Here is a 27,947-nt window from a genome sequence, read left to right as displayed (position 1 = left end):
GCAGGAGAGTGAGACAGGACAGGAGGCAAGAGGGACTGCCTAAGGAGCGCAGACAGAGATGGCCCTCTGTGAGAGCCTCCAGTCTGTCTCTTCAAGGGGAGGCGGGAGGGGAGGGGCAGATCAGAGGACAGAGAAGGAAGAAGTTTAGAGCATGAATGAAGAAACCCCAAGAGGCCAGGTGGCAAGGCCGAAGCCCCGCCCCAGGCTCCGGCCCCGCCCCCAGCCCCACCTCTTCTTCCTCTCGCCTCCCACCCCCGAGCCGCGGCTCATCCTCTAGGGCGGAGAGAGGTGGCATTTGAGTCCTCCGGTATCCCAGCAGGCAGTGCAGCCTAGAGACGCTGACAAAGGAGCGGAGGAGCAGTCGCAGCTGCTTTCCGAGGAAGCCGGTGTTGCCGAGGTGAGAGTCCCCCACCGTCCCGTCACCCACTTCCTCTGACTTCGGGAAAATGTGGAAGTTACGTGGCTGAGAGCCCCCCGCCAAAGAATGACCCATCCGCACAGCCGGAGCTTGGCTCTGTGATTGACAGCGGGGCTCCGCGGCGCCGGGATGCGGGTGGGCGGCGGGGAGGAGACGGAGGGGATCCTTTCCTGTCCCGTGTGTGACTGGCGGTGGCTCCGCCGCCCGCGGCGCCCGGCCCCAGGGTCTGGCCAGCTGGTGTGTAGCTCGCTCCTGCCCGGGCAAAGGCAGGCTCGGGAGCCTCTCGGTGCCTGCCCGACGGAGTTCGGTTGCCCCGGGGATGCGGCTCGCGGGACAACTCTTCGGTGGATGCACCGAGGACGGCTGGGGGAGGGAAGTTGACTCCCCGTTTGGGGTGACACCGTCCTCGCCCTTCCTCCAGCCTAGCCGGTTGCCCCAGCGAGCAACTGGAAGGAAATCGGCAGGGTTGGAGCGAGGCGTCCCGGGATAGCCTCAGCTTTACTCTCTTTGCCTGGAGGGAGATGAAAGTAGGGTGGAGAGGCGGGGAGGGGAGAGCGAACGCCTTCTTGGAAAAATGGGGTAGGGTGTAGGGGGTGCGTGGCCTGTATCCTTCCCCCTCCCCAGACCTCTGCACGGATCTTGATGGTTGCACCAGCTGCTCTGCTGTAAACAGGCTCACATGACCGGTTTCACATGGAGCGGCCGGTGTGGGGACGTGGGCTGGGAAGGCTGGGCCCCAGTCAGGTGGAGCTGAAATCCTAGGACAGTCCATTTTGTACTCCCTCTCCAGCCCTCCTGCCCTTAATCAATGTTCTGCGGTTTCCCCCTTTGAAAGAAAGTAATTGACATCTGCCCTCTCCAGCTGAAGTAGCAGATCTGCCCCAGTAGAATCTGAGAGATCTCACGTCGGGGAACGAGAGGACAAATGCTAAGTGAAAATTGACCTTTGAGGGAGATAAGAAGAGGACTCAAACGTGAAAAATTGTGTCCTTTGGATCTTGCCTAAAAAGCAGTCCTGTTCTTTCAGAGTGCATTGCATTCTTAATGTGAATTCCAGACAGAAAGGAGAAAGTCTACTTTTTCAGGCAAGGCACACATGGGATTTAATATTCTTGGTGAATATCTTGTCCACACTTACTCTGAGTACTGGAAAATCTCTTTGCCTAGAAAAGACTATATACAGGATATTGAATATGGAGTGGATACCAACTTTTAGATTACACTTATAGTTGGTAGTGGGAAGTTTGGAAAACAGGAAACGGCCAAATGTGTCTTTCAAGTTGTTCACGTCTACATACCCAATCAGGATGCGAGATTAAACTAGTTTCTGAAGCATTTCTTGAACTCTTAAAACAACAGGTATACCTAAATACTAGGAGAGTTGAAATTTTGGAATTTTTCAACTCTGTAAGGGATAGCTGTGATAGATTCTCCATACATGTATTAATAATATATAATTAAATGTAATGGACAATATTCAGTATAAAGTTACTCCTTTATAGGCAAAAATAGACAATAGAACAAATAGCTTGTAAAACAATGCATGCTTCTTCCTTAAATTGTTTATGTACATTTGCTTCCCAAGTGTTTTATTTTTCTTTTCTTAGAGAGCTTTTACATTTAACTCCATTTTCTGAAAACTAACAGTTAAGAAATGATCAGAGAAGCTATTCCATTCCCTAATAGGTCAATAAAGTAATTTGCTACTATTCTTTTTCTGTTTTTAAAGAAGTTTAAAATGGAATATATAGACATTTTACATGTCTACAAAAATATATATATTTTTTGAGACAGGGTCTTGCTCTGTCACCCAGGCTATAGTGCAGTGGTGCAGTCTCAGCTCACTGCAACCTTTGCCTCCTGGGCTCAAGCGATCTCCCACCTCAGCCTCCCGAGTAGCTGGGATTACAGGAGTGCACCACCATGCCCAGCTACTTTTTGTATGTTTAGTGGAGACAGGGTTTCACCATGTCTACCAGGCTGGTCTCGAACTCCTGACCTCAAGTGATCTGCCCCCCCTCGGTCTCCCAAAGTGCTATGATTACAGGCGTGAGCCACCACGCCCAGCCAACTTTATTTTGTATTTTTTAGTAGGGATTTCCCAATGTTGGCCAGGCTGGTCTCGAACTCCTGACCTCAGGTGATCTGCCCACCTTGGCCTCCCAAAGTGCTGGGATTACAGGCGTCATCCACTGTGCCTGGCCAAAATTTTTTTTTTTTTTTTGAGACAGAGTCTCCGTCGCCCAGGTTGGAGCGTGCAGTGGCACAATCTCGGCTCACTGCAAACTCTGCCTCCTGGGTTCACGCCATTCTCCTGCCTCAGCCTCCCCAGTACCTGGGACTACAGGCGCCTGCCACCACGCCCAGTTAATTTTTTGTATTTTTAGTAGAGACGGGGTTTCACCGTGTTAGCCAGGATGGTCTCGATCTCCTGACCTCGTGATCTACCCGCCTCAGCCTCCCAAAGTGCTGGGATTACAGGCATGAGCCACTGCGCCTGGCCAGTTTTTTTTTTTGATTAGCTGAACATAGTGGCTTGGCACCTGTGGTCCCAGCTACTTGAGAGGCTGAGGTGGGAAGATTGCTTGAACCCGGGAGATCAAGGCTGCATTAAGCTGAAGCCATGCCACTGCACTCCAGCCTGGGTGACAGAGGAAGACCCTGTCTCAAAAAGAAAAAAAAGGTGGGGAGTGGTGGCTCACACCTGTAATCTCAGCACTTTGGGAGGCCGAGGCAGGTGGATCACCTGAGGGAGTTCAAGACCAGCCTGGCCAACATGGCAAAACCTCATCTCTACTAAAAATAGAAAAATTAGCTGGGCATGGTGGCAGGCGCCTGTGATCCCAGAGCTTTGGGAGGCCGAGGCAGGCGGATCACCTGAGGTTGGGAGTTTGAGACCAGCCTGACCAACATGGAGAAACCCCGACTCTACTAAAAATACAAAATTAGGCAGGCGTGGGGCGCATGCCTGTAATCCCAGCTACTCAGGAGGTGGAGGCAGGCAAATCGCTCGAATCTGGGAGCAGAGGTTGCGGTGAGCCAAGATGGCACCATTGCACTCCAGCCTGGGCAATAAGAGCGAAACTCTGTCTCAAAAAGAAAAAGAAATAGGAATTGCACCGTGCAAAATTCTCATTAGGTATTTTAACCATATAGGTTGACCTATACCTCTTTTCATCGGGAAATTGAAGATGGCCTCAGCTAAATCCTGCCTCCAAAATTAGAAATAACAGTTTCAGTTGACTTTCTTGACCTTCAGGGCAGAAAACAAAGTCTGATTCTTTTACTCATTCCAGCTTCTTCCTGGATTAGGCAGACCACGTTATTAGTGATGAAGTTAGAATTTTTTTTAAGAAGGAAGGCTCTAGCAGTGTCTTACTTTAGCAGTACCTTGGTTAGATCACCAGAACCAATGTCTGGTTTTCAGCTTTTCCAGGTTCAAAATTTCATTGGCACATCAAGAAATTGTCAGTCTCACTGATTGATTCACACCAACCAAACTCAAAAGATTTCTATGAGCATGAATGGCAATTTGCTAACTCTCAGTGAGAACTGCCAAACAGACCAGAAGACTCACGTACAAGCCAAGGCAAGCTTTGCTATTGACTATATGGAAACACAAAGAACTTGCTCTTGACTTCCCCTTTTTCCAGGTTCTATGAGGACCACTTTTTTCAAGCCTAGCAGTTAGTATATTCCACAGAATTACAGGTTTCTTTTATATAAAAACCATTTCAGTTACACCTTTGTATGGATATATCCTAGTCACCTGGTTGAATTGGGTCACATGTAAAACATCTCTAAAATCTGTTTCTTCTCCATTCCTGCAGCCTTAGCCTAGGCCCTCATCATTGCTTCATGCCACATTCATTCAACAGTTTTTTAATTTTTTATAGTAACTACTCAGGAGTCAGGTGTTGTGCTTGAATGGTCAATGGCAACCCCTGTCCAACTTCAAATCTGAATTGGTCAGTTCTGTGCTTAAAATCCTTAAGGCCAGGCAAAATCGTAGGTTACACTTGTAACCCCAGTGCTTTGGGAGGCCAAGGCAGGAAGGTTGCTTGAGGCCAGGAGTTCAAGACCAGCCTGGGCAACATAGCGAGACCTTATCCCTATATTTAAAAAAGAAAAAATCCTTAAGTGGTTTCCTATTGCCTGCAGCAGTGGTTCTCAAAGTTTAGTGTGGATCGGAATCACCTGGAAGACTTGTTAAAACAGATGGCTGGGCCCCAGTCCCGGAATTTCTGATTCAGTAGGTCTAGGGTGAGAACCAAGAATTTGTGTTTCTAACAAGCCAGAACCACTGGCATAGGGAATCAAGTCTAAACCCCCAAACGTTCACAAAATCTTGCACAATCTGCCTCTAACTTACCTTTCTAGCCGAAACTTGCCCCTCTCCCCATATTTGCTGTTTTTAACCATATGCAATGCCAAAGCTCATTTTAAGCATCCCTTTCATGCTTCTACACACATTCTTCCTGGAATTCACCCGGCCCTCCACTTCTACTGCAGACTAGCCTTAAGGCAGATGATCACTTTCTTTATGCTCCCAGAGCACTTTATATCTATCAGCAGTTTAACACTGCTCACATCATATCTTAATTACTGCTGTATATCTGTTTTTCCTGCTAGTCTGAGTTTTTGGAAGGCTGACAAAATATTTTCATCTTGTCTCCATATTCCCTAGCACAGTGCCTTGTATATAATAAGTGCTCAGGAAATGTTTGTTGAGTGAATCTGTGATTTTTTTTTTTTTGAGACAGAGTCTCGCTCTGTTGCCCAGGCTGGAGTGCAGTGGTGTGATCTTGGCTCACTGCAACCTCCGCCTTCTGGGCTCAAGTGATTCTCTTGCCTCAGCCTCCCAAGTAGCTGGGATTACAGGCGCCCGCCACCATGCCCAGCTCATTTTTGTATTTTTAGTAGAGATGAGGATTCGCCATGTTGGCCAGGTTGGTCTTGAACTCCTAACCTCAGGTGATCCTGCCCACCTCGGCCTCCCAAAATGCTGGGATTATAGGCGTGAGTCACTGCGCCCGGCCATGAATTTGTGATTCTAAAACTTCTGAGTGTTTCATGTAGCAACATATATATATAATCATATAATATGGATTTTGCTTTGAGAATTGCGCATCTTGAAATGACATACTGAGATGTTGTAAAACATGGAAACAACACATTAATTATAACCGGGTTGTAAATAACACATTTGAAAATATGAATTGTTTTCAAAGAGACATTAGGTTATTCTTTTTTTTAAAAATCTTAAAATGTATACTACTCAACTTTTAAATCTTGAATATAGAAGAGCCAATCACTACATATTATTTATAGCAGTCAATCTCATTAGTTAAAATAGCAAAGCATACCAAAAATCTAGAAAATATATAAAAACAAAAGTGTCAAATATTAAGCAATGAACATTAAAGTAGAAAGTAAACATTAGAACATCACTTGTTATGACTTTAGGAAAATGCCAGCAATTAAAAACCCCAATTAACAATACTGGGAATTCAGAGGAGGCCAACTGAGTTTATGAAGTGGGAGGGAAGGAGGTTTTAATGCTAGTGAGACTAAAGGAAAATAACATATCGCTCTTAACAATTTAGTATTTAGTTGGTCATTGGCAAGGATTGCACAGAGTATGGAAGAAGGAGATAGCCCCTGTGCCCAGATAAAAGGGAGCTGACCTGAAGGTGGAGCTGGGAACCTTAATCAGAGTAAACAGCAAGAGCCAGGGAGAGATAGTTAAGTAGCTGGTACACTGTGACCAAGCAGATGGGTCACCAGTTTCTGGGTGAGGGCTGTACTTTGAATCATCCTTAACTGTTTTCAAACTTCGATCCACTTACTTCACTTGCTTCTTGCAGCCTCCTCTTTCTTTCTTTTTTCTTTTTTGAGGAGTCTCGCCTGTCGCCCAGGCTGGAGTGCAGTGGCGGATCTCGGCTCACTGCAAGCTCCGCCTCCCGGGTTCACGCCATTCTCCTGCCTCAGCCTCCCGAGTAGCTGGGACTACAGGCACCCGCCACTACTCCCGGCTAATTTTTTTTTTGTATTTTTAGTAGAGACGGGATTTCACTGTGTTATCCAGGATGGTCTCGATCTCCTGATCTCGTGATCCGCCCGCCTCGGCCTTCCAAAGTGCTGGGATTACAGGCGTGAGCCACCGCGCCCGGCCTGCAGCCTCCTCTTTCTAAAAACAGGTTGCAGGGTGCAAATGAGAAAATGCTATGAAAGTGGTTTCAGTGCTCCTTAACGGTCTCTAAGTTTTGTATCTATGGTGGTAAAATGGATTCCTGTTTATCTCAAAGTCTTATCTTTTCATTCCTCTGGTCAATGCAAAGTGAGGAAAATGGAAAAAACCATCATACTTTGGGGTACTGGTCTCCTTGGATTGATGGTAGTGGCAGGCATGTGTGAATATCTCAGAGTGTTTATGCGTCTTTTTGTGTCAGAGTAGTTTGCAAACTGGTCACAAGGTGGTGTGCACACATAAGGTTTTCTTTATAATTTCATTCAGGATTGTTTTTCTGTGCCTTTGGTACAGGGGAGGAAGACAAGACAGTTTCCTGTATCACCAGATCTCAGCTGCGCTCTCTGCCTGTGAGGTCAGAAGTGTGTTGGAGCCTCAGATTTCTAAATGCTTGCTGGCACAGTTAGGCACTGAAGAGCCAGGGAAAATCAGAGGGAAACAGAAGGAGGGGAGGGGAGAAGAGGGGAAGAGAGGTAACTGGGAGTGCTGATTCTCTCTGCTCTCCTCTTACCCCAACCCATGGTGAGCAGCCACTTAAGATTTACTGCTCCTCTAATTAGGATCCCTTGCTTGTCTTGTATAGACAAAGTGTGTTCAGCTATGACGGGTGAGTGGTGGGGGGAATGTTCCCCAGTGGAGGAGACAGTTATTAGTAGACATCTGTAGGATAACTGATAAGCTTTTAGCTATCTGCTAAGTGCCCAGCACTGACCTTGGGCCTGTGAGGGGTGCAAAAAACAAAAGCATCCCACCAAACAACAATATGGCATTATACCTAAAATCTAACTGAGAAGTCAAAATTAATGCACACAAAACAAATGTCAAAATATTCCATTCTGGCTGGGTGCAGTGGCTCATGCCTGTAATCTCAGCACTTTGGGAGGCCAAGGTGGGAGTATTGCTTCAGTTCAGGAGTTCAAGACCAGCCTGGACAACATAGGGAGACCCTGTCTCTACATAAATTTTTTAAAAACATTAGCCAGGAGTGGTGGCACTTACCTGTGGTCCCAGCTACTTGGGAGGCTGAGGTGGAAGAATCACTTGAGCCCAGGAGTTTGAGGCTGCAGTGAGCTGAGATCGTGCCAATGCACTCCAGCCTGGGTGCAACCTCCGTCTTCCTGGTTCAAGCAATTCTCCTGCCTCAGCCTCCTGAGTAGCTAGGATTACATGTGTGCACTACCACGCCCAGCTAATTTTTTTGTGTTTTTAGTAGAGACGGGGTTTCGCCATGTTGGCCAGGCTGGTCTCGAACTCCTGGCCTCAAGTGATCCGCCCGCATCGGCCTCTCAAAGTGCTGAGATTACAGGCGTGAGCCACTGTGCCCAGCCAGGGAAGGGGAATTTGAATTAGGTTTTGAAAAATGAGTAAAATTTTGCTGTCCAGAGAGGAAGAATGCAGCAAACCTTCATTATTAATGCCCTGATGAATAGTTCCTGACAACTATAGCTGTTTCATCATCAGGAAAATAGTGTGTGCCACTCAGTAAGTGAAATTGTCTCTTGATTTTTCTTTATAAAACTGAAAAGGAAACACAAATGAAGATAATGCAGACTTAGTTGTGACTTGAATTTTGGATCATCCTTTGAGAACTCTGATCTTGATAAGCAGGGACAATTGCTACAGATTAGGGCATGTGTGGTAGTCAGCATCAGGGAAGCAGGACTTTATTTTTTTTATTTTTTTGAGATGGAGTTTCGCTCTGTTGCCCAGGCTGGGGTGCAGTAGTGCGATCTCGGCTCAATACAACCTCCACCTCCCGGATTCAAGCAGTTGTCCTGCCTCAGCCTCCTGAGTAGCTGGGATTACAGGCATACACCACCATGCCCAGCTAATTTTTGTATTTTAGTACAGACAGGGTTTCACCATGATGGCCAGGCTGGTCTCAAACTCTTGACCTCAGGTGATCTGCCCGCCTCAGCTTTCCAAAGTGCTAGGATTACAGGCGTGAGCCACCGTGCCAGGCCGAGGCAGGACTTACTTGAGACATAGAAGGGATGACTGTATAAGGAAGTGGAAGCCTGGAGACCAGAGTTCTGCCACCAATACCCTGTGCAACCTTGGATAAGTCTCTTAACCATCCTGGGCCTGCTTCCCACATCTGTCAAATTAGAAAAGTGGGAACCAACTAACTCTGACTTGGTGTGCACTTGACTTTTGGAAAGCAACCTCATAAACCGATTTGCAGTAAGTTTTTACCAGTTTAGTATATAATCTTTCCCCAGGATTTTTGCACTTTATCATTTTGTAATATGGACTGCAGCAAAGAGAAAGTGTTAGTCTCCAGAAAACTATCAATTCAAGGCAGGTGTTACACCTTATTATGTTCATTGGCACAGTTGCTAATATTGCTCTGTTGACCTGGTGCTAATTCTTCCCTAATTTCCACTGGTTGGAGTTTAGGATGCAACTTATATCTTAGCCAAGATAAGCTGGGCGCGGTGGCTCATGCCTGTAATCCCACCACTTTGGGAGGCCAAGGTGGGCGGATCACGAGGTCAGGAGTTCAAGACCAGCCTGGCCAGCATGGTGAAACCCCGTCTCTACAAAAATTAAAAAAAAAAAAAATTAGCCAGGCGTGGTGGCGTGCACCTCTATTCCCAGCTACTCGGGAGGCTGAGGCACGAGAATCGCTTGAACCCGGGAGGCAGAGGTTGTGGTGAGCCAAGATCATGACATTGCACTCCAGCCTGGGTAATGAGCGAAACTCCGTCTCAAAAAAAAAAAAAAAAAAAAAAAGTGATAAATGGGAACAGAGATAGGAAAAGAAATAATAGTAAACTGCTCAAAAATTATTAAACACTTCTTTTATAGTAACAAGGAGATAGCCTATTCGTGATTCATGGGAAAATGTGTACATGTTCAACTCACAAAGAGAAAGCTTTGAAATTAAAAGAAAAAGAATTTCTACTATGCCATTATTCAAAGATAGTAAAAGTAAAATTTCTACTTTGACCTCTGTTGACTAACTTCTTCTTAAAGTTAGAACCAAGAGTTTAGCATTTGTCTGTGTGGTTAATTTTGACTTCCCAGTCAGATTTATGAACCATTTCATACTCTTTTAAAACAAATAGTTTCACATTAGAGTTATACATGTTCTTAAGTTTGCAAGTTATCTTAAATCTTTTTCTCATTATGTTTCTGTTGCATGTAAATTATTTTAAATAATCGAAATTATTCTGTTTAGCCCACAGTTTAAGGTTTTCAATATGTTTTTAGAGGATTATAAACTAGAAAATACAGTTAACAGAGATTTTTCACATTGTTTCTAAATTCCCTCTTGTGTTTTCAAAAACAGGCACCTTTTTCAAAGTAGGCCCTAGTAGAGTTGTTACTTAATTTTTTTTTTAAATATTCGTTTTTTTTAAATAAGTATTCAAAGACTTCAGAATTCAAAAGATACAAAAGGATATCCAGAGAAAAATTCCTTCCACCCCCATTTCTCTCTCCAGGGACAAACGCGGATATCCTTCCAAAGAATTTCACCCATATCCAAGATAATAGGTTTACATATTCTTATCTCCCCTTTTTTTTTTTTTTTTTCTTTTTGAGACAGAGTCTCTCTCGCCCAGGCTGGAGTGCAGTGGTGCAACCTTGGCTCACTGCAAGCTCTGCCTCCCGGGTTCACGCCATTCTCCTTCCTCAGCCTCCTGAGTAGCTGGGACTACAGGCGCCCGCCACCACGCCTGGCGTGGTGTATTTTTTTTTTTGTATTTTTAGTAGAGACAGGGTTTCACTGTGTTAGCCAGGATGGTCTCGATCTTCTGCCCTCATGATCTGCCCGCATCGACCTCCCAAAGTGCTGGGATTACAGGCGTGAGCCACCGCGCCCGGCCTTATCTCCCTTTTTATACAAATGGCAGCATGCATTACACACTGCACCGCTCCTTGCGTTTCTCACTTAACACTACCACTTGAAGATCAGTCCATCTCCAACTACACAGTCTCCTCTTGATATCTGGTATCCCAATGAATGGATAGACTGTACTTTATTTAATGAATCCTCTTTTAATGGACAGTTGGGCTGTTTCCAATCTTCTTTTTTTTTTTTTCAGATGGAGTCTCACTCTGTCTCCCAGGTTGGAGTGCAGTGGCATGATCTCGGCTCACTGCAACCTCCGCCTCCCGGGTTCAAGTGATTCTCCTGCCTCAGCCTCCCTAGTAGCTGGGATTACAGGTGTGTACCACCACGCCCGGCTAATTTTAGTATGTTTAGTAGAGACGGGGTTTCACCGTGTTGGTCAGGCTGGTCTGAAACTCCTGACCTCAGGTGATCCGCCCACCTTGGCCTCCCAAAGCGCTAAGATTACAGGTGTGAGCCACCTCCCCTGGCTTGTTTCCAGTCTTTTGCTATTAACAACAAAAAACTAGCTCTTACTGGGTGCCAAGTTCTGTTCCATGTTGTTTCACATAAATCATTTTATTTAACCCTCAGCACTGCAGAGAAACCTTTCACCTACATGACTTCACACAAAAAGGGGAATATATATGCCAGATAAATCCCTAGACGTACGATCTCTGGAACTGAGGCTATGTGCATTTAATTTTGGCACATGTAGTTGTTATGCCAATTCACCTCCCCACAAGCAATGTAAGCACATGCTTGATCGTTCCCATCATATGCTATCAAAATTTGAGTTTTACTAATGGGACAGGTAAAAAATTGTGTCATAGTATGGCTTTAGTTTGGGTTTCCTTTGCTGTGAGTGAGGTTAAACATCCTTTTGTAAGTTCAAGGACAATTTCTATGTCCCTTTTCTATGAAGTAAAGTTTTTTTGCCATGCAGAGTTTAAAAAGTTATACAGATGAATTTATCATTTTTTGTTTGTTTCTGTCTTCAGAAACAGTTTTTCATTTGTTTGTTTGTTTTTTTCCCAAGACAGATTCGTGCTCTGTTGCCCAGGCTGGAGTGCAGTGGCACAGTCTCGGCTCACTGCAACCTCCACCTCCTAGGTTCAAGCAATTCTCTGTTTCAGCCTCCCGAGTAGCTGGGATTACAGGCGCACGCCACTATGCCTGGCTAATGTCTGTATTTTTAGTAGAGACGGGTTTCACCATGTTGGCCAGGCTGGTCTCAAACTCCTGACCTCGTGATCTGCCTGCCTTGGCCTCCCAAAGTGTTGGGATTACAGGCGTGAGCCACCGAGCCTGGCCTTCAGGAACAGTTTCTTTTTCTTTCTTTCTTTTTTTTTTTTTTTTTTGAGATGGAGTCTCACTCTGTCACCCAGGGTGGAGTGCAGTGGTACGATCTTGGCTCACTGCAAGCTCCACCTGCCGGGTTCCAGTGATTTTCCTGCCTCAGCCTCCCAAGTAGCTGGGACTACAGGCACACGCCACCACGCCTGGCTAATTTTAGTATGTTTAATAGAGACGGCGTTTCACCATGTTGGTCAGGCTGGTCTCGAACTCCTGACCTCAGGTGATCCGCCCACCTCGGCCTCCCAAAGCACTAGGATTACAGGCGTGAGCCACTGTGCCCAGCCAGGGACAATTTCTAAGTGAAAAAAAAAACAATTTGGTTTCTGTTTTTACATCACTGTTAGAAAGCCTGAGGTTTTTTTGTTTGTTTTTCTCATTGTTTCTTCTAGAGTATTTATGGCTTTATTATTATTTTTTAATTTTACTTTTTAAAAAAAACTTTTATCTGTTTAGAATTTTCCCTGATTAAGGAGTGAAAGATAAATTATTTTTTTTCTAGATAGATACCTGATTTAGCCAGCATTTATTGATTAATCTATCCTCCACAAATCAGAGATACCACCTTTTATCCTAAATTAAATTCTCATCTCGACAGAGTTTTAGAATGAGATGGTGCATATAATTTTGTGATGCCAAATTTGGATGTTCTCTTCCTAATGCTTCCTAAGATAGTAATTATACAGCTTACCATTTTTTATTGAAAAAAAAAAAAAGAGAACACATCAAACTTCTGAGAGCACATTATCCCAATAGAAATGTGTATGCTTTTGAGTAGAAGAAATAAAAATGCAAAATTAGAATTATTTAATCGGAAGCCTTTTAGAATAATCTTAGTTTGGTTTTTTTTTGGTTTTTTTTTTTTTTGTATAAACCCAGGAACTTGGTAATCTTAGTTCTGTTTTATTTTATCTTCTTTTTTTGAGACAAAATCTCAGTTTGTTACCCAGGCTGGAGTGCAGTGGCGTGGTCATGGCTCACTGTAGCCTCAATGTCCCTGGACTCAGATGATCCTCCCACCTCAGCCCCCTGAGTAGCTGGGACTACAGGCATGTTCCACTACCCCCAGCTAATTTTTGTATTCTTTGTAGAGACAGGATTTTGCCATATTGCCCAGGATGATTTTGAACTCCTGGGCTCAATAAATCCTCCCACCTTGGATTCCCAAAGTGCTTGGATTACAGGCATGAGCCACCGCATCTAGCCTTAGTTTTATTTATTGAAGTGGACAGACAGTGGAAAAAATACTGGACTAGGAGGCAGGAGGCCTGTCAACTTTGGTTTTTTGTTTTATTTATTTATTTATTTATTTATTTATTTATTTATGAGACGGAATTTCGCTCTTGTTGCCCAGCGATCTCGGCTCACTGCAACCTCCGCCTCCCGGGTTCAAGCAATTCTCCTGCCTTAGCCTCCCGAGTAGCTGGGACTACAGGCGCCCACCACCACACGTGGCTAATTTTGTATTTTTAGTAGAGATGGGGTTTCTGCATGTTGGTCAGGCTGGTCTCGAACTCCTGACATCAGGTGATCTGTCCGCCTCGGCCTCCCAAAGTGCTGGGATTACAGGCGTGAGCCACCATGGCGCCAGGCTTCAACCTTGTTTTTGTTTTTGTCTCAGTCTGGTCTCTTCATAATTAAATAATAATAATAACAACAAACACTTAGAACATTGCCTGGCCTTTAGTAAGTGTTATTCAAGAGCTTTACATACAGTATATTAATTCATTCAGTCTATATAATTATTAAAAAGTTTATAATCTGTTATGAATTATACAAATATTAGATATCTTTACTAAGAAAATGTTGATAGGCGCTTTCAGCTCAGTCAAAAAAACAAAAACACATCCGACACTGTTGTTAATTACATTCATGCTATAAAGTATGGAAATAAAGTAGAATGATTATCTGAAGCAGCCTATGCATTAAGTGCCTTCCTTTTTACCTTCATGTTTCTGTGCCTTTGTTGTTCCCTTGGTCTGAATGCTCTCCCCTCAACACTTAAGTGTGTACCCTTCTTTTCTTCCAAGACCACCTCAAATATCAACTCCTGGCCTTTCTTTTTTTTGAGATAGAGTCTTGCTCTATCACCTAGGCTGGAGTGCAGTGGTGTGATCTTGGCTCACTGCAGCCTCTGCTCCCGGGTTCAAGTGGTTCTCCTGCCTCAGCCTCACAAGTAGCTGGGATTACAGGCACCCGCCACTATGCCTGGCTAATTTTTGTATTTTTAGTAGAGACGGGGGCTTCACCATGTTGGCCAGGCTAGTCTCAAACTCCTGACCTCAAGTGATCCGCCCGCTTCGGCCTCGCAAAGTGCTGGGATTACAGGTGTGAGCCACCGCGCCCGGCCAACTCCTGGCCTTTCTTACAGGTAGAATTATTCATGTAGTCTTCTGATTCTCTAGCACCATATATACCATGGTATCCTTATAAGTATCTATTATAATAGAGGTAGCTTCAATATTTTTGCTTGTCAATTAGACTTGAACTTCTTGAGGGTAGAGCCTATGCATTATTCATCTTTGTATCTCTGCTCAGCTTCTGACATAGTTCTTGGCATATAATAGATGTCCAGCTGAAAGAAAAGAATAAATATTTGCATACATGACTATATAGCTCCTATTTGATAGAAGTTGGAAAGGCCTCTATCAGAATCAGAGCATACGAGCCTCAATAGCTGGTAAAACCAAATCATTCATTCGTTTTATTTCTCTTTGAATGTATGAGAACCCGAACTTGAAACTGTTAAATGGCTTATAGTCTATTTTAAAGGTGTGATCCACAGGGTAAAAATCAGATATTTTCTCTGATTGTACATTTTAGCTTTTGCATTTTATTTTTAAAAGCTATGTTTCAATTGTGGGGGCACGCCTGCAGTCCCAGCTACTCCAGAGGCTGAGGCAGGAGGATTGCTTGAGGCCAGGAGTTCAAATCCAACCAGGGCAACATAGGGAGACCCTGTCTCTTAAAAAAAAAAAAAGGCACACTTGGTGTGCTTGGTAAATAAGAATATTGATTATAATGAGATTAGGAAATAAATACAGAAACATCACGCTTATCAGGCATTCAGACTTCTGTCAGTTATAGCTATCTGGAACATATTCAGGAACCCAGAGGGAATCCAAAAAAGCCTCTGAAGTTGGAGAATAGCTCTCACAAAGCATGTGTACTTGATGTAGGAGGGAGAGGCACAGTGCCACTCACATGCCAAAGCCCTACTTACTGACTTCACATTTTCATAAAAAAATTCCAAGGACTGCTTAGCATGTGTGGTCATTCGGCCTCCTTTCAAGACATTTTAGCTTGTTTCTGGTTTCAGTAGAAAAAAGATTAAAAGAACTCTCCCACCCATGCTGCCAAGAAGGCACTAAATAAAGTATTGTTGACATGAGTGTAAAAATGATTCTCATGGTTTTCTCCAGAAATCATGGAAACTTACTTTGTGTTTATTTTTTAGTCTTTAAGAATTCTGCTGGACTCATGCAAAATCAGTTGTGACGATACTTAATTTATTCTACTTTTTAAAAAATCTGAGGTTTAAAAAGAGCGATATCCCTTTGATCTCACCTCTTTGAAAGGGGGTCATTAATTTGAGAAAGACTTCTTTATTCCTTTGAGTATTTAGATTATTAATCATAGGTTAAAATCCTCAATGTGAAAGGAGCATGTATAAACTTCTTTGCATAATTTGGTAAAAGCTATACAAGTAAGTCAAGGGAAAAAGTCAAAAGCCATGTTTAAGTGATTTGGGGACTTTTTTTGAGTCGGAGTCTCCCTCTGTAGCCCAGGCTGGAGTGCAGCAGTGTGATCTCGGGTCACTGCATCCTTTACCTCCCAGGTTCAAGCGATTATCCTGCCTCGGCCTCCTGAGTAGCTGAGACTACAGGCATGTCACCACACCCAGCTAATTTTTGTATTTTTGATTTTGCATTTTTGTATTTTGTATTTTTAGTAGAGACAGCATTTCACCACATTAGCCAGGCTGGTCTGGAACTCCTGACCTCAAGTGATATGCCTGCCTCGACCTCCCAAAGTGCTGGGATTACAGGCATGAGCTACTGCACCTGGCCGATTCAGGGGCCTGTTTTAATGCATGCTAAATATACTTTTTGTGTAGGGGCTATAGATTAATGAAAATTGGGATCATTCACTTTTCTTCTCGCTTTCTCCTTCTATTTCTAGATTGCCAAAATGCTTTGGAGTTTTTAACTGAATCTAAGAAAAGTCCAAAATAGATTTGAGACTGTAAAAACAGAAACTGCAGCAAGGGGGATTCAGTGCCAATGCATCAACAAAAAAGACAACCAGAGTTAGTGGAAGGAAATCTTCCTGTTTTCGTGTTCCCCACGGAGCTCATATTTTATGCAGATGATCAGTCAACACATAAGCAAGTGTTGACACTGTACAATCCCTATGAGTTTGCCTTAAAGTTCAAAGGTGAGTCTCCTAGCTCTATTTTCTGGGTTTTTAACTGGTCCCTACTAATTTTTTACTTGTAGAAACTAATTAAAAAAAAAAAACACTAATGGCCATTGTGACTTTTTCTTTCAGTTTTGTGTACTACTCCAAATAAGTATGTTGTCGTTGATGCTGCAGGTGCAGTAAAGCCTCAGTGTTGTGTGGATATGTAAGTCAAGATCAATTCCTGGTAACACGTTTTAAGTGTGTTAATATTTATGTTTTTAACTTGAAAAAAAAAGATATTTTCTTGAAGCTGTTCTCACATAGGCATTTATTATATTTTGAATTTTTGCCGAAAGTTTGTCTATCGAAATTGTTTCTAAGAGATTCGGCCAAATACTTAATAATATTTTATTACGTTGGAGCTCATGTATATGTTAGTATCTCCATGAACATTTTCTCATTGTTGTGGTTTTAGTCATACCAGGGATGCTTATAAAGGTAAAGTTCTGACTTATTCCTTTAAATTTCTCCAGCTATAATAGGGGATTTAGCTTTCCTTGGAACATACTGCTATTATAGTGACATTTGGAAAAATGTAATACTACAGTCTAAGAACAAGGGTAATATAAGTTCATCTGAAGTGATTCAACTAAAAGCCTGGAAGTTAATCTATATAAACAGGAAGCAGTTGTGCAACCACTCATCTGTAAAATATTATTTGAGCTCTTCCAGATAATTTCATCTTAGAGTGTCAGATAAATGATTGTTCAAGCTGTTCATATTTAATTTTTATTTTAGAACTAGTGGTGACCAGATGGATCCATTGACCAGCCCTTAATTTAAGCTACCAAGTACACTGTATTTGTTTAAATCTTCTGTGAGAATGAGAAGCAGAATTCTTTTCTTTTGAATACTTTTTCACCAGCTCAAAGCCATAAAATGATGTATCTTTGAGAACGTTTTTGCACATTTTTAAAAATTTTCATTCAGTACACAGTAAGCAAGAGCTATTACAAAGAAATGTAGTCTCTTGCCAAATAAATGTGTTACTTTGACCTAATTGTTTTGTGTTCCCTAGTACGAACAAAATAAAATAAATGGAATTGCAGAAAACCCATAAGAATTACAGTGTTTGGCTGGGTGCAGTGGCTCACGCCTGTAATCCCAGCACTTTGGGAGGCTGAGGTGGGAGGATCACCTGAGGTCAGGAGTTCAAGACCAGCCTGGCCAACATGGTGAAACCCCGTCTCTACTAAAAATAAAAATTAAAAAAAAAAATAGCTGGGCGTGGTGACAGGTGCCTGTAATCCCAGCTACTTGGGAGGCTGAGGCAGGAGAATCACTTGAACCCAGGAGGCAGAGGTTGCAGTGAGCCGAGACCACACCATTGCGCTCCAGCCTGGGCAACAAAAGTGAAACTCCGTCTCAAAAAATAAAATAAAATTACAGTGCTGTATACTCTTTTCTCTTTAGAGAAGTAGAGGTGTATTATTGGCCTTCTGTTGCACTGGTAATAGTGGATTACTTACTTATTTGATTGCTTGTTTCTACCTGCATACATGGAATTCAATTTTAAGTGTAGGGCGAGGTTTGTTGCCTAAACAATAAGTAAGTAGCAATAGAAATTTATGAGATGTTTGTGGGGAATAAACAATTGCATGTATTCCTATTTAGTAAATGTTGCTGCACTGAGTTATCCAGAAAAAAAAAAAATGTGATTGCTAAAGAGAATTTTTTTTCTTTCTTTTTTTTTTTTTTTTTTTTTTAATAAGACAGAGTCTTGCTCTCTTGCTATGGCAGCGATCATAGCTTAGTGCAGCCTCAACCTCTTGGGCTTAAGGGATCTTCCTACCTCAGCCTCCCAAGTAGCTAGGACTACACGCACACCAGCAAGCCAGTTAATTTTTAATTTTTTTTGTAGAGACGGGGTCTCTGTGTTGCATAGGCTGGTCTCAAACTCCAGGCCCCAACCTCCCAAAGTGCTGGGATTACAGGTGTGAGCCACTGCGCCTGACCAAAAAGGAATTTTCTTTACCTGTTATTTTTTTGCTTAAGACTTTTATTCTGTGTTTTAGATTATGTGCTTTCATCCAATGTTTCCGAATTACTCATTTCTTTTGGGTTATACTGTGATTTTTTAACATCTTAGCAAATTTCTGTTTTTGAGTATTTGGTTGTAGTCAGTTAATATTGTTTAATATATTAAAATATCTCACTGCCTTCTGTTTGGCCGGCCCCCAGAAATCTAAACAGCATTTGTTATTTTTGCTGTTTTCAGTGTGATTCGTCATCGAGATGTTCGATCCTGTCACTATGGTGTAATAGACAAATTCCGTCTCCAAGTTTCCGAGCAAAGCCAAAGGAAGGCTTTGGGAAGAAAAGAGGTTGTTGCTACTCTTCTCCCATCAGCAAAAGAACAACAAAAGGAAGAAGAGGAAAAAAGATTAAAGGAACATTTAACTGAAAGTTTATTTTTTGAGCAGTCGTTTCAACCAGGTAGTTTTGGGTTGTTTTTAAAGCCCTTTTGAGGTCTTACACATTATTAACTTTAAAATAATCAGGCAGCTAAGAATAATTACTAGAAAAATCATCTACCACTTCAAACATGGTCAACTACTTCAAAACTGCACCTAGAGAATCAGGTACCTGAAGTAGAACAAGAAGCCTGGAGGTGGACTTTGAGAGGAGGGAATACCCCTCACTGGACCAGGCTGTAAGGAGCGGGTAGATGTTGCTGTAGCCTTTTAAATATATCTGTATTTAAACATAAACATAAATATATCTAAGACTGCAGGCACCATACTTTATGAAGCTAGTACAATTTGGCAGTTCCTATACTTTTGTTTCCATGACTTTCCTATATCCTTTCTCATTTAATTAGTTCCAAGGAAGAGAGAGATTGTGTTTGGCAATAGGCCAAGCTTAGTGCACTGTTCATATTATTTTGAAAAAAAAAAAAATCTCATTAAAGTTGAAGTTAATTAAACTAAGTAGATTATGATATCCCCTGTGGGCTATTAATTGAATCCCTCTCCAGCCCTCATTTCCTTCCAGCTTAGATATTCAGAAGTGTTATGATATATTCTTTCAACATTGACACTACCCTCATATTCAACTCTTTGGACGTCATTATCCCGTCTTCTTAACTTCTCATTATCTCCTCCTAAACCTGTTGTAATAGGAGGATGATAAAATTTTCCATAGAAAACCAGGGAAACTGGAAACTTTTTGATGGTGATACTGGTACATGAATATGATAGCAGCTGTCCTTGAAATTGCAACATTTTATGAAGGATTAAAAAAAATCTACTTGCTGTTACATTCAGTCGTATCAGTTTGTTTGTTTTAGGATGTTCATTTCAATAACAGGGAGTAGTGCCTCTTTGATTTACTGTAGCCAAGAGTTTTTTCCTAGTCCATTAGGGACCATCTAGATTTTCTGGTAATACCAGGACTAGTGACTAGGTAGTAGCTATTAGGTTGGTGCAAAAGCAATTGCGATTTTTGCCATTACTTTTAATTGCAAAATCCGCAATTACTTTTGCACCAACCTATAGTGGATTGTTTTATTCTCAGCAACTATTATCAACTGACAGGACCAGCTTTTCATCTTTTGAAGCTGAAAGAGAACCTTTGTCCAGTGTCACTTTATCAGATCAATATTGTAAAGTTAACATAGTTATGAAATGCAAGATTCCCTTTTTAAAATACTTCCTCTAGTACAAAGAAGGCCATTTAATTTGTATTTGTTTTTTGAAGTTACACTTGTAATTTAAAATGGTCTTTGAAGTTCAGTTTTGTATTTAACAGATTGGTTTAATAACCAAGAATAATAAGGAGTAAGATTTAGGGGTATATGTGTATGTAAATATATGTAAGGAGAACTTTATTCCTTTTATTTTTAAATTTATTAAAATTCAGGTGAAGATCATGCTAAAAAGGCTAAATAATTAAAGTATGTATTGTCTTATTTTATTTTTTATTTTTTGAGAAAGGGTTTCTCTCTATCGCCCAGGCTAGAGTGCAGTGGTGCCATCATAGTTCTCTGCAGCCTCCAACTCCTGGATTCAAGTAATCCTCCTGCCTCAGCCTCCCGAGTAGCTGGGACTACAGGTGCTCGTCACCACACCCAGGGTCTCGCTATGTTGCCCAGGCTCGTCTTACCTAGCCTCAAGCAATCCTCCTGCCTCAGCCTCCTAAAGTACTGGGATTACAGGCCTGAGCTCCCGCACCTGGCCTTATTTTAGTTTTCTAACAAACCTTGGTATCTAAAGTATATTAAAGAATTTTTCTAATAGTAAAATTGGAGTAGGCAGATGAATGAGGATAGGTGATGCTAGCATAACACATGGTGATCTCTGTTTTGAGGGAAAAAATTATCTAATCCATTCCTGTAAGGAAGCTCAATGAAGGCAGGCACTTTTCCTAGTAATTTTATATCCTCAGCACCTAGCACAGGGCCTGGCACAGAGAAGTTACATAATGAACTTGTAAATGGGCTGAGCTAGGAAGGCTGGACTTCAGGTCTGGTGAGGGTCTGTGGGAATGGTTTTTTTGTTTTGTTTTGTTTTGGCTTACAAGGTTTTCATGGCTATGACAGCTGTTTAGAGGAAAGGTGATACCACAGCAGAGCCCCATTCACAGTCCTGGCCAACATGTCCCGTTTATGGGTAGTTACCCCAATGTGCCTAATTACCTGGAAGTAAGTTGAGTAAAGTTTTCTTCTTTAATAGAGTATCATGATGACTGATTTAGTCTCCTGTCTATTAAATTTACAGGAATTTATGTGTAGTTTCCAACATGTGGAAAACTCAGGTTTTTAAGTTTTTCTGAACTAAAATGTTGAAAATTAATTGAGATTGTTTTGGGGAGGCTTTGAAATGTCATTACTTTTACAAGTCCTTAGCTTAGAGAATATTTCAACAAATGCGTATTATTAAAGTATTAGAGGTGCAGCAGTGTTGTGAGACTCACTTTTAGCAGGAAAATGGTTGATGGCTTCATTATGAAAAATTTGGATTTTGAAATATATTGAAAGTCAGTAAAAACGAGAAAAAAATTTAAGTTTATTGTATAAAACACATATAGCAATAACATAAGAAAATGTACCTGTAATCTCACACACTTAACAAATCTGCTTATATAAGTGTTCCATGTTACTTTCCAGACCTTGCCTATGTGCATAAGTACATTTTGTGAGTATATTTTGTGAGTTTTTTTCATTCAACAGAAATTTAACTGTTAAATTAAGGGAAACCTACAAAGTATACTTTCATAAAATGCTAGAGTTCAGGTTATTAAAAAGCCATTTTAAAAGATACATCTGAATCTTAGTGGGTTTGTCTTAATTACATTATTAATGAACTGCTGTGTCTATGCTATAATGTTTGAGTTAGTGCCCTCTGGCTTCAGAAAATTATGGTCTTAATTATTGTTTATAATAATACAAAATTGAAAATAACCGAAAAGTCCATCAATTGGGAATTGATTAAATTATAAATATTCATAAGATAGTGTGCCAGGCAGACATTTACAAGGATCTGATAGAATGATGAATGCTTATACATTGTCATAGAAAGAGCTTCAAATATATTTCTAAGTAAGGAAAAAAAAACAGTTATATAACAGTATGTATAATATGGCCTTATTTATGTAAAAGATTCTTCTACATGTTTATATGGGCATTTGTAAAATCTAAAAGGATACATACCAAGCTGTTAACAGTGTTAGCTCTAGGAGGGTGGAATTATGGAGGAACATTTACGTTTTCTGTATCTTTATAACATATTTTACAACGATCCTGTAGTACTAGGGAAAAAAGCTTTTTCCATTTTGAAAAATTTCAAGCATTTATGCAAATGTTTTTCGAATACTAAAAATTCCAAATTTCTCTAAATACTAAATGTTCTCTACTAAAAATTATTTGAAATTATCTTTTGTGGGTTTGCAGTGAATGGCGTACTTGTCATAAATAACTGTTTTCTTTGAGAATTCATCCTTGCAACAAAGATAACTATAAAGGTACTCTATTAACTGAAACAAGACTTGGGGTTTTTCTTTTAGGTATTTCTGCTATTGTTTCATTCCAAACAATAATTACTATAAAATTTGAATTTGTTTTCACCTCTCTGGCTCTGATGAAGTACAGTTAAACTCCACACAACAGCTAAGGTATTAATAATTTAGAAAAGTTCCATTTAATAATAGAATGAACAGCATTATTTCATTAATGAAACACAAAGATTGTGTTGCTGTTGGCTATTCCTTTCAATGAAAGGAAAGGTAGTGGGAAAAGCCATATGACAGAAAATGCTGTTATTGGGTTTCTTAAAAATATGAGTATGTATACTATACACATAGAGCCAGAACTGTAGAATAGCAGGTCTGATAACATTTTTAATCTTTTTTGTTTTGTTTTTTTGAGACAGAGTCTTGCTCTGTCACCCAGGCTGAAGTACAATGGTGCAGTCTAGGCTCACTGCAACCTCCACCTCCCGAGTTCAAGCGATTCTTCTCCCTCAGCCTCCTGAGTAGCTGGGACTACAGGTGCGTGCCACCACACCCGGCTAATTTTTGTATTTTTAGTAGAGATGGGGTTTCACCATGTTGGCCAGGCTGTTCTCAAACCCCTGACCTCATGGTCCACCCACCTTGGCCTCCCAAAGTGCTAGGATTACAGGCGTGAGCCGTGCCCAGCCTTTTTTAAAAATCTTTTAGAATTTTATTTTAGGAACATTTAACATGAGATCTACTCTCTTAATGAATGTTCATGTAAATAAAATATTGGTTAAATGTGGGAACAATTGTCGAGTAGATTTCTAGGCCTCACTCAGTTTACATAATTGAGACCTATGCCCATTGATTAGCAATTTGCATTATCCTCCTCCTCCAGCCCCTGGCAACCACCCATTTTGCTCTCTGCTTCTATGAGTTTGACTATTTTAGATTTCCTGTGTAAGTGGAATCATGCAGTATTTGTCCTTCTGTGACTGGCTTATTTCTCTTAGCGTATTTGCCAGATACTGTTTCTGCTGTTTTCTTCTTTACTATAAATGGGTTAGAGCAGAGGGAAACACTTTTGGTTCCTTAACATTTTCAAAATTGATAGCGGGATGTGCAGTTATTAGGATCAAACCTATCTGGGGAGCTCCTTAAAATATTCTCATAAAGGTAGTGGAGGTCTAGTGTGGCAGGCTCAAATTGAATATACACAGGCAAGCCACTGGGGTACTGGAAGAAAGTATCAGAACTTCAATTTATATTTATTTTTAGCACATTCTTCCAAAAATCTATTTGTATGTTTTATATTAAGCATAACACAGTACAGAACTTGTGCATATAATTTTAAAATGTGCATACATCGATGATACATGCTTGAATACTTTCTACTGACTAGGGTGGGATGGTCGGGGGAGTTGGTGACCACCTTTCAGTAAGAACTCACTACCTCACAATGCCACGTCAGCATTCCATCCTGCAATGATTCAGACCAGTTAAGACATGGGCTTCCACATCAGCCCAGCAGTTAACTCTCAGATGGAAAAAATGATGGGGAAACAATTGGAGAAGTTAGACAAAATCAGAATACTGGTCTGTGGTGGCCAGTGTTTGTGAAGGAACTTTTGTCTTAAAGTTTTTAGAAGGAAGCTTAGGGATTTTTGTCTTTTTACAGAAAACAGAGCTGTATCCTCAGGACCTAGTTTACTAACTGTCTTCCTGGGAGTGGTGTGCATTGCAGCCCTGATGCTGCCTACACTGGGGGATGTGGAATCGCTGGTGCCTCTCTACCTCCACTTAAGTGTGAATCAAAAATTAGTGGCTGCTTATATCTTAGGTAAGGGTTTTAAAGATGCATTTGGGACATATGTGTAGGGCTTTATGTGTGTGGTAGGGTGGTGGTGGTTTGATTTTTTTTTTTTTTCCCAAAGAACAGGTAAAGAAATGCTTCAAGAGCATATTGAGGTCAGGTGCCTTTGAAGACTTTTTTAACTCACATTTAGTTCTTTTTAGCTTATTTATCTAGTACCTGATACTATATTCAATTATTTTCCTTTTGCTGACTTACAATGGCATAAAACATGTATAAAATGTAAGACGCATGCATTCCATGATACAGCATTTCTACTTTTAGGAATTGCTCCTAGGGAAACAGACAAAGTACATACAGTGATAAAGATGAACAGTGCAGCCTTGTTTAATATTGTGAACGTTTCTCTTTTATTATTATTTTTTCTTTACTTTTGAAGCCACCATGTTCAGAACCTTTCTCTTTAAACTAATTCCCTTATTTCCTGTTGATTCACTATTTCAGTCATCCTGGCTTGAAATCTTAGAGTTAATTGTTTCAATTGAACAAATATTTATTCCGTACCTTCCATGTGTCGAGGATTAGTGTTCTGGTGATGAATGACTTTCCTCATGTTCTCCTCTCACCTTTGCTTAGATGCCAACTCTTTTCAGTATTCCCTGGCATATGTGCTTTCTCTTATTTATTTATTTATTTAGAGACGGAATTTCGCTCTTGTTGCCCAGGCTGGAGTGCAATGTTGCCATCTCGGCTCGCTGCAAGCCCCGCCTCCCAGGTTCAAGCTATTCTCCTGCCTCAGCCTCCCGAGTAGCTGGGATTACAGGCATGCACCACCACATCAGGCTAATTTTGTATTTTTAGTAGAGATGGGGTTTCTCCATGTTGGTCAGGGTGGTCTCGAACTCCCGACCTCAGGTGATCCGCCCAACTCAGCCTCCCAAAGTGCTAGGATTACAGGCGTGAGCCACCACACCTGGCCGCTCTCTCTTTTTTATTTTGAAATCATCTTGATTGTCTCTCTCCCTTCTGTCTGTGTTCCTTCTCTCCCTATTTCTTTCCCCCATTCATTCCCACCCCCAACCATCCATCATGTTGTCAGATTAATTTCTCTTTTGCTCTCACAACCACCCCCTAGTCAGAAACCTTCAGTGGTTCCCCATAATCCATAGGATGAAGTATATAACCTTCAGTGCCATAGCTTGGCATTTAAGACTCTCCACAATCTGAGACCTCTCTGAGCCAATTTTATCTAGCTACTTCATTCTGTAAATCACTGCATAAAGCCTTTTAGATTATTCACTCATTCTGGAAAAGCTCCTCTAGCGGCCCGGTTCTCCAGGCCCTTACTCATGCCATTCCCTCACCTGAAATGCCTGCCCATCTCCTCGTTCTCTCTCTCTTTCCTGTCCATCTTTTTTTTTTTTTTTTTTTGAGATAAAGTCTTGCTCTGTCACCCAGGCTGGAGGGCAGTGGCTGGCTGGATCTCGGCTCACTGCAACCTCCGCCTCCCCAGTTCAGGGGATTCTCCTGCCTCAGCTTCCCAAGTAGCTGGGATTACAGGTGCTTGCCACCACACCCGGCTAATTTTTGTATTTTTAGTAGAGACGGGGTTTTGCCATGTTGGCCAGGCTTGTCTTGAACTCCTGACCTCGTGTGATCCACCTGCCCCGGCCTCCCAAAGTGCTGGCATTACAGGCATGAGCCACCATGCCTAGCCCCTGTCCATCTTTTAAAGCAGCTTTTTATCATTGGGGGCAACTTTTCTGACTGCCCCAGTCCCATGTGATTATCCTCCTTCTCTGTACTTTTTTTTTATCACACTTTCATCATCCTTCATTTAGGACTGAGCATATTCTTACTATTTTATATTTTATATATTCTCTCTTCAAAAGAGAGAAGCAAAGTAGGAATGCCATACTTCTGTCTCTTTGTGGCCCTAGGGCCCTGGGATACAGGTAGACTCTTTGTGCTTCTGTTAACAAAGTCCACTGGCTTTACCCATGCTTCAAAATGGCACATCTGCTATTATTATGTTTGATGTGACTGGATAAAGTAGGAGGTATGTTTGATAGATAGATTTGCTATGGCCAGACATTAGTGATTTAATTAAATCTCTCCAGTGACTGCCCATTGCTATAAATTGGATTTCTTCTTTATGATATCAACAAAATTCAAATTGACTTTGGGTTCTTGGTAGAGTGCCTGCCTATGTGCTATGTTGTATTTGTTCATTGAGGTCCAAACAATTGCTTATTGAATGAAAGATTCTGTTAGGTGCATACCTTTAACTGTTCTCCATTTTTCTTCTTTCAGGTCTTATCACAATGGCCATACTTAGAACATGAGCAAGGATTTCAATTGACTTCTGAAGTAAATCTGTCTTGAAAATATGAATGTGGACTGCCTTTTATCTCTATTTCACTCCATTAACATGCAACAAACTATTGAATGATTTCAAATAATTGCAAATGTATAATATATATTTTAAATTATAATTTAATTTGAAGGACTGCAGAACATTATTTTACAGACAGCAAGGATGCTTCTGAGTGACACCTAGGAAATTATTTGAAGAAATTCTTTTTATATCTATACCTGTTGTGTAAGAAACTTTAAAACATTTGTTATTTTCTCACCTTTTTTTCTAATTCACTTTGATTGCTAGGGGTCATGTATGCTTCGAAGTTACAGGACTAAAAGAGCAAACTGACCGGCCTAAAACTAAAATGACATTTATTCCCTAGCTACAAACATCAGCGTTATTATGTTAATTATACCTTGCCCTCTATCATTATAAATGGTTGCCATGGTGTTTCTAAAAATAAGTGTTTTACCATTAATGTGTAGAGGGCAAACAAAGCATAAAGTACTAAGGGATCATGCTTATCCTAGGGTCTCACAGAAGAGAGGACATATTTAATTAATCTTGTGAATTACAGAACAGGTTGTGGTCCAGACACCAAGAATCATAGGGGTTTTTTTTTAAAAAACCTAATAGAAGTAGGGTGACCTCTCTCTTTGGTCTAAGAGTTCTAAAGGAAGGTAGGCATCTGTTTAATTAGTTGGTTCACCCTGGCTTTACCTCTGGTTAATGCTTTGTGTTAATAGGAAGGAAAAATCACTTTATCTTTTCTTCCAAGCCCCTCCCTGCCTGACTTACCCAGACTGGGATTACCAGATACCAGGTGATTTATGTGGAGATGATTTTTCACCTTTAAACTCTAAGCCAAGTGTAAGAAACTCTTGATAGCTATGTCTATTTTATATCAGTCACTGAGACTTTTTTTTAAGTTTTTATTTATTATTAAGACAACTTTGCCAAAAAAGTCCCCTAAGCACAACTATTTACATTTCTTTATAGCCTCTTCTGATCTCTAACACATATGCAGTTTTAACTGTTATTTTCATAGTAACTGATCTTTTGTCTAAGGATTTTTACCTGAAAGCACAATGTATTGAGTCTCTTGAAAATCATCTTTCAGATCTTTTTACAGAATGAACTTATGCACTGCTACTGTAGTATTCTCAAGGAATATATGTAAACACAAATGTATGCCTGAGGTTGGTTTTTGCAGAAAACAGTCTCTGCTTCTAAAAACTTCTATGTCTAGTCTTCCATAGGAAATCCTCACTGTTTAACCATGTGAGGAGCCTAAGTCATTAAACGGATCATGTCTGTACATTGTGTAATGAATGAAAAGCACATAAATGTAATCTACTTTGAACTTTGTAAAAATGATGTGTGGAGGCTATTCTTGTTTCTCCATCTCAAGTCCTGTGTGTGCACGTGTGTGCAAGTGCACATGTGTGTGTGTAATAACACATTGTAAAGAACAGAAATTACTTTAAAAAATAAACAGAAATGGAGACCTGA

The 27,947-nt window shown here is 41.1% G+C and overlaps 1 protein-coding gene across 6 annotated transcripts, besides 4 other annotated features; it reads left to right on the top strand.

The window, feature by feature from the left end:
- The first annotated feature begins 321 nt into the window (after positions 1–321).
- MOSPD1 (motile sperm domain containing 1) lies at positions 322–27,947 on the top strand. 6 transcript variants are annotated; one of them, XM_017029653.2, is made up of 7 exons: positions 322–397; positions 1,281–1,503; positions 16,045–16,299; positions 16,414–16,489; positions 18,545–18,762; positions 23,939–24,100; positions 26,387–27,947. In XM_017029653.2, exons 3-7 carry the CDS (start codon positions 16,146–16,148, stop codon positions 26,416–26,418), a joined length of 642 nt encoding a protein of 213 aa, XP_016885142.1. In that variant the 5' UTR covers positions 322–397; positions 1,281–1,503; positions 16,045–16,145; the 3' UTR covers positions 26,419–27,947. The 6 variants fall into 6 exon arrangements, with proteins under 6 accessions (XP_016885142.1, NP_062456.1, XP_047298214.1 ...); NM_019556.3 differs by lacking the exon at positions 1,281–1,503; XM_047442258.1 differs by lacking the exon at positions 23,939–24,100.
- Positions 489–658: a silencer, noted in NCBI's record as "silent region_21016". NCBI's record gives its function as "represses an Ori minimal core promoter by ATAC-STARR-seq in GM12878 lymphoblastoid cells {active_cell/tissue: GM12878}" and the evidence as "EXISTENCE:reporter gene assay evidence [ECO:0000049][PMID:35858748]".
- Positions 6,432–6,975: an enhancer, noted in NCBI's record as "H3K4me1 hESC enhancer chrX:134042634-134043177 (GRCh37/hg19 assembly coordinates)". NCBI's record gives its function as "activates a minimal SCP1, AML or CMV promoter by ChIP-STARR-seq in naive H9 embryonic stem cells {active_cell/tissue: H9 hESC(naive)}" and the evidence as "EXISTENCE:reporter gene assay evidence [ECO:0000049][PMID:30033119]".
- Positions 6,432–7,160: a biological region, named in NCBI's record as "Sharpr-MPRA regulatory region 6850".
- Positions 6,866–7,160: a silencer, noted in NCBI's record as "tiled region #6850; HepG2 Repressive non-DNase unmatched - State 24:Quies, and K562 Repressive DNase unmatched - State 8:EnhW". NCBI's record gives its function as "represses a minimal TATA promoter and a strong SV40 promoter by Sharpr-MPRA in HepG2 and K562 cells {active_cell/tissue: HepG2 | K562}" and the evidence as "EXISTENCE:reporter gene assay evidence [ECO:0000049][PMID:27701403]".

Source organism: Homo sapiens, chromosome X, assembly GCF_000001405.40.
Source record: "Homo sapiens chromosome X, GRCh38.p14 Primary Assembly".
In the NCBI taxonomy this organism is placed as follows: Eukaryota; Metazoa; Chordata; class Mammalia; order Primates; family Hominidae; genus Homo; species Homo sapiens.
The sequence above is the reverse complement of the archived record's forward strand: the minus strand, read 5'-3'. Positions and strand labels throughout refer to the sequence as shown.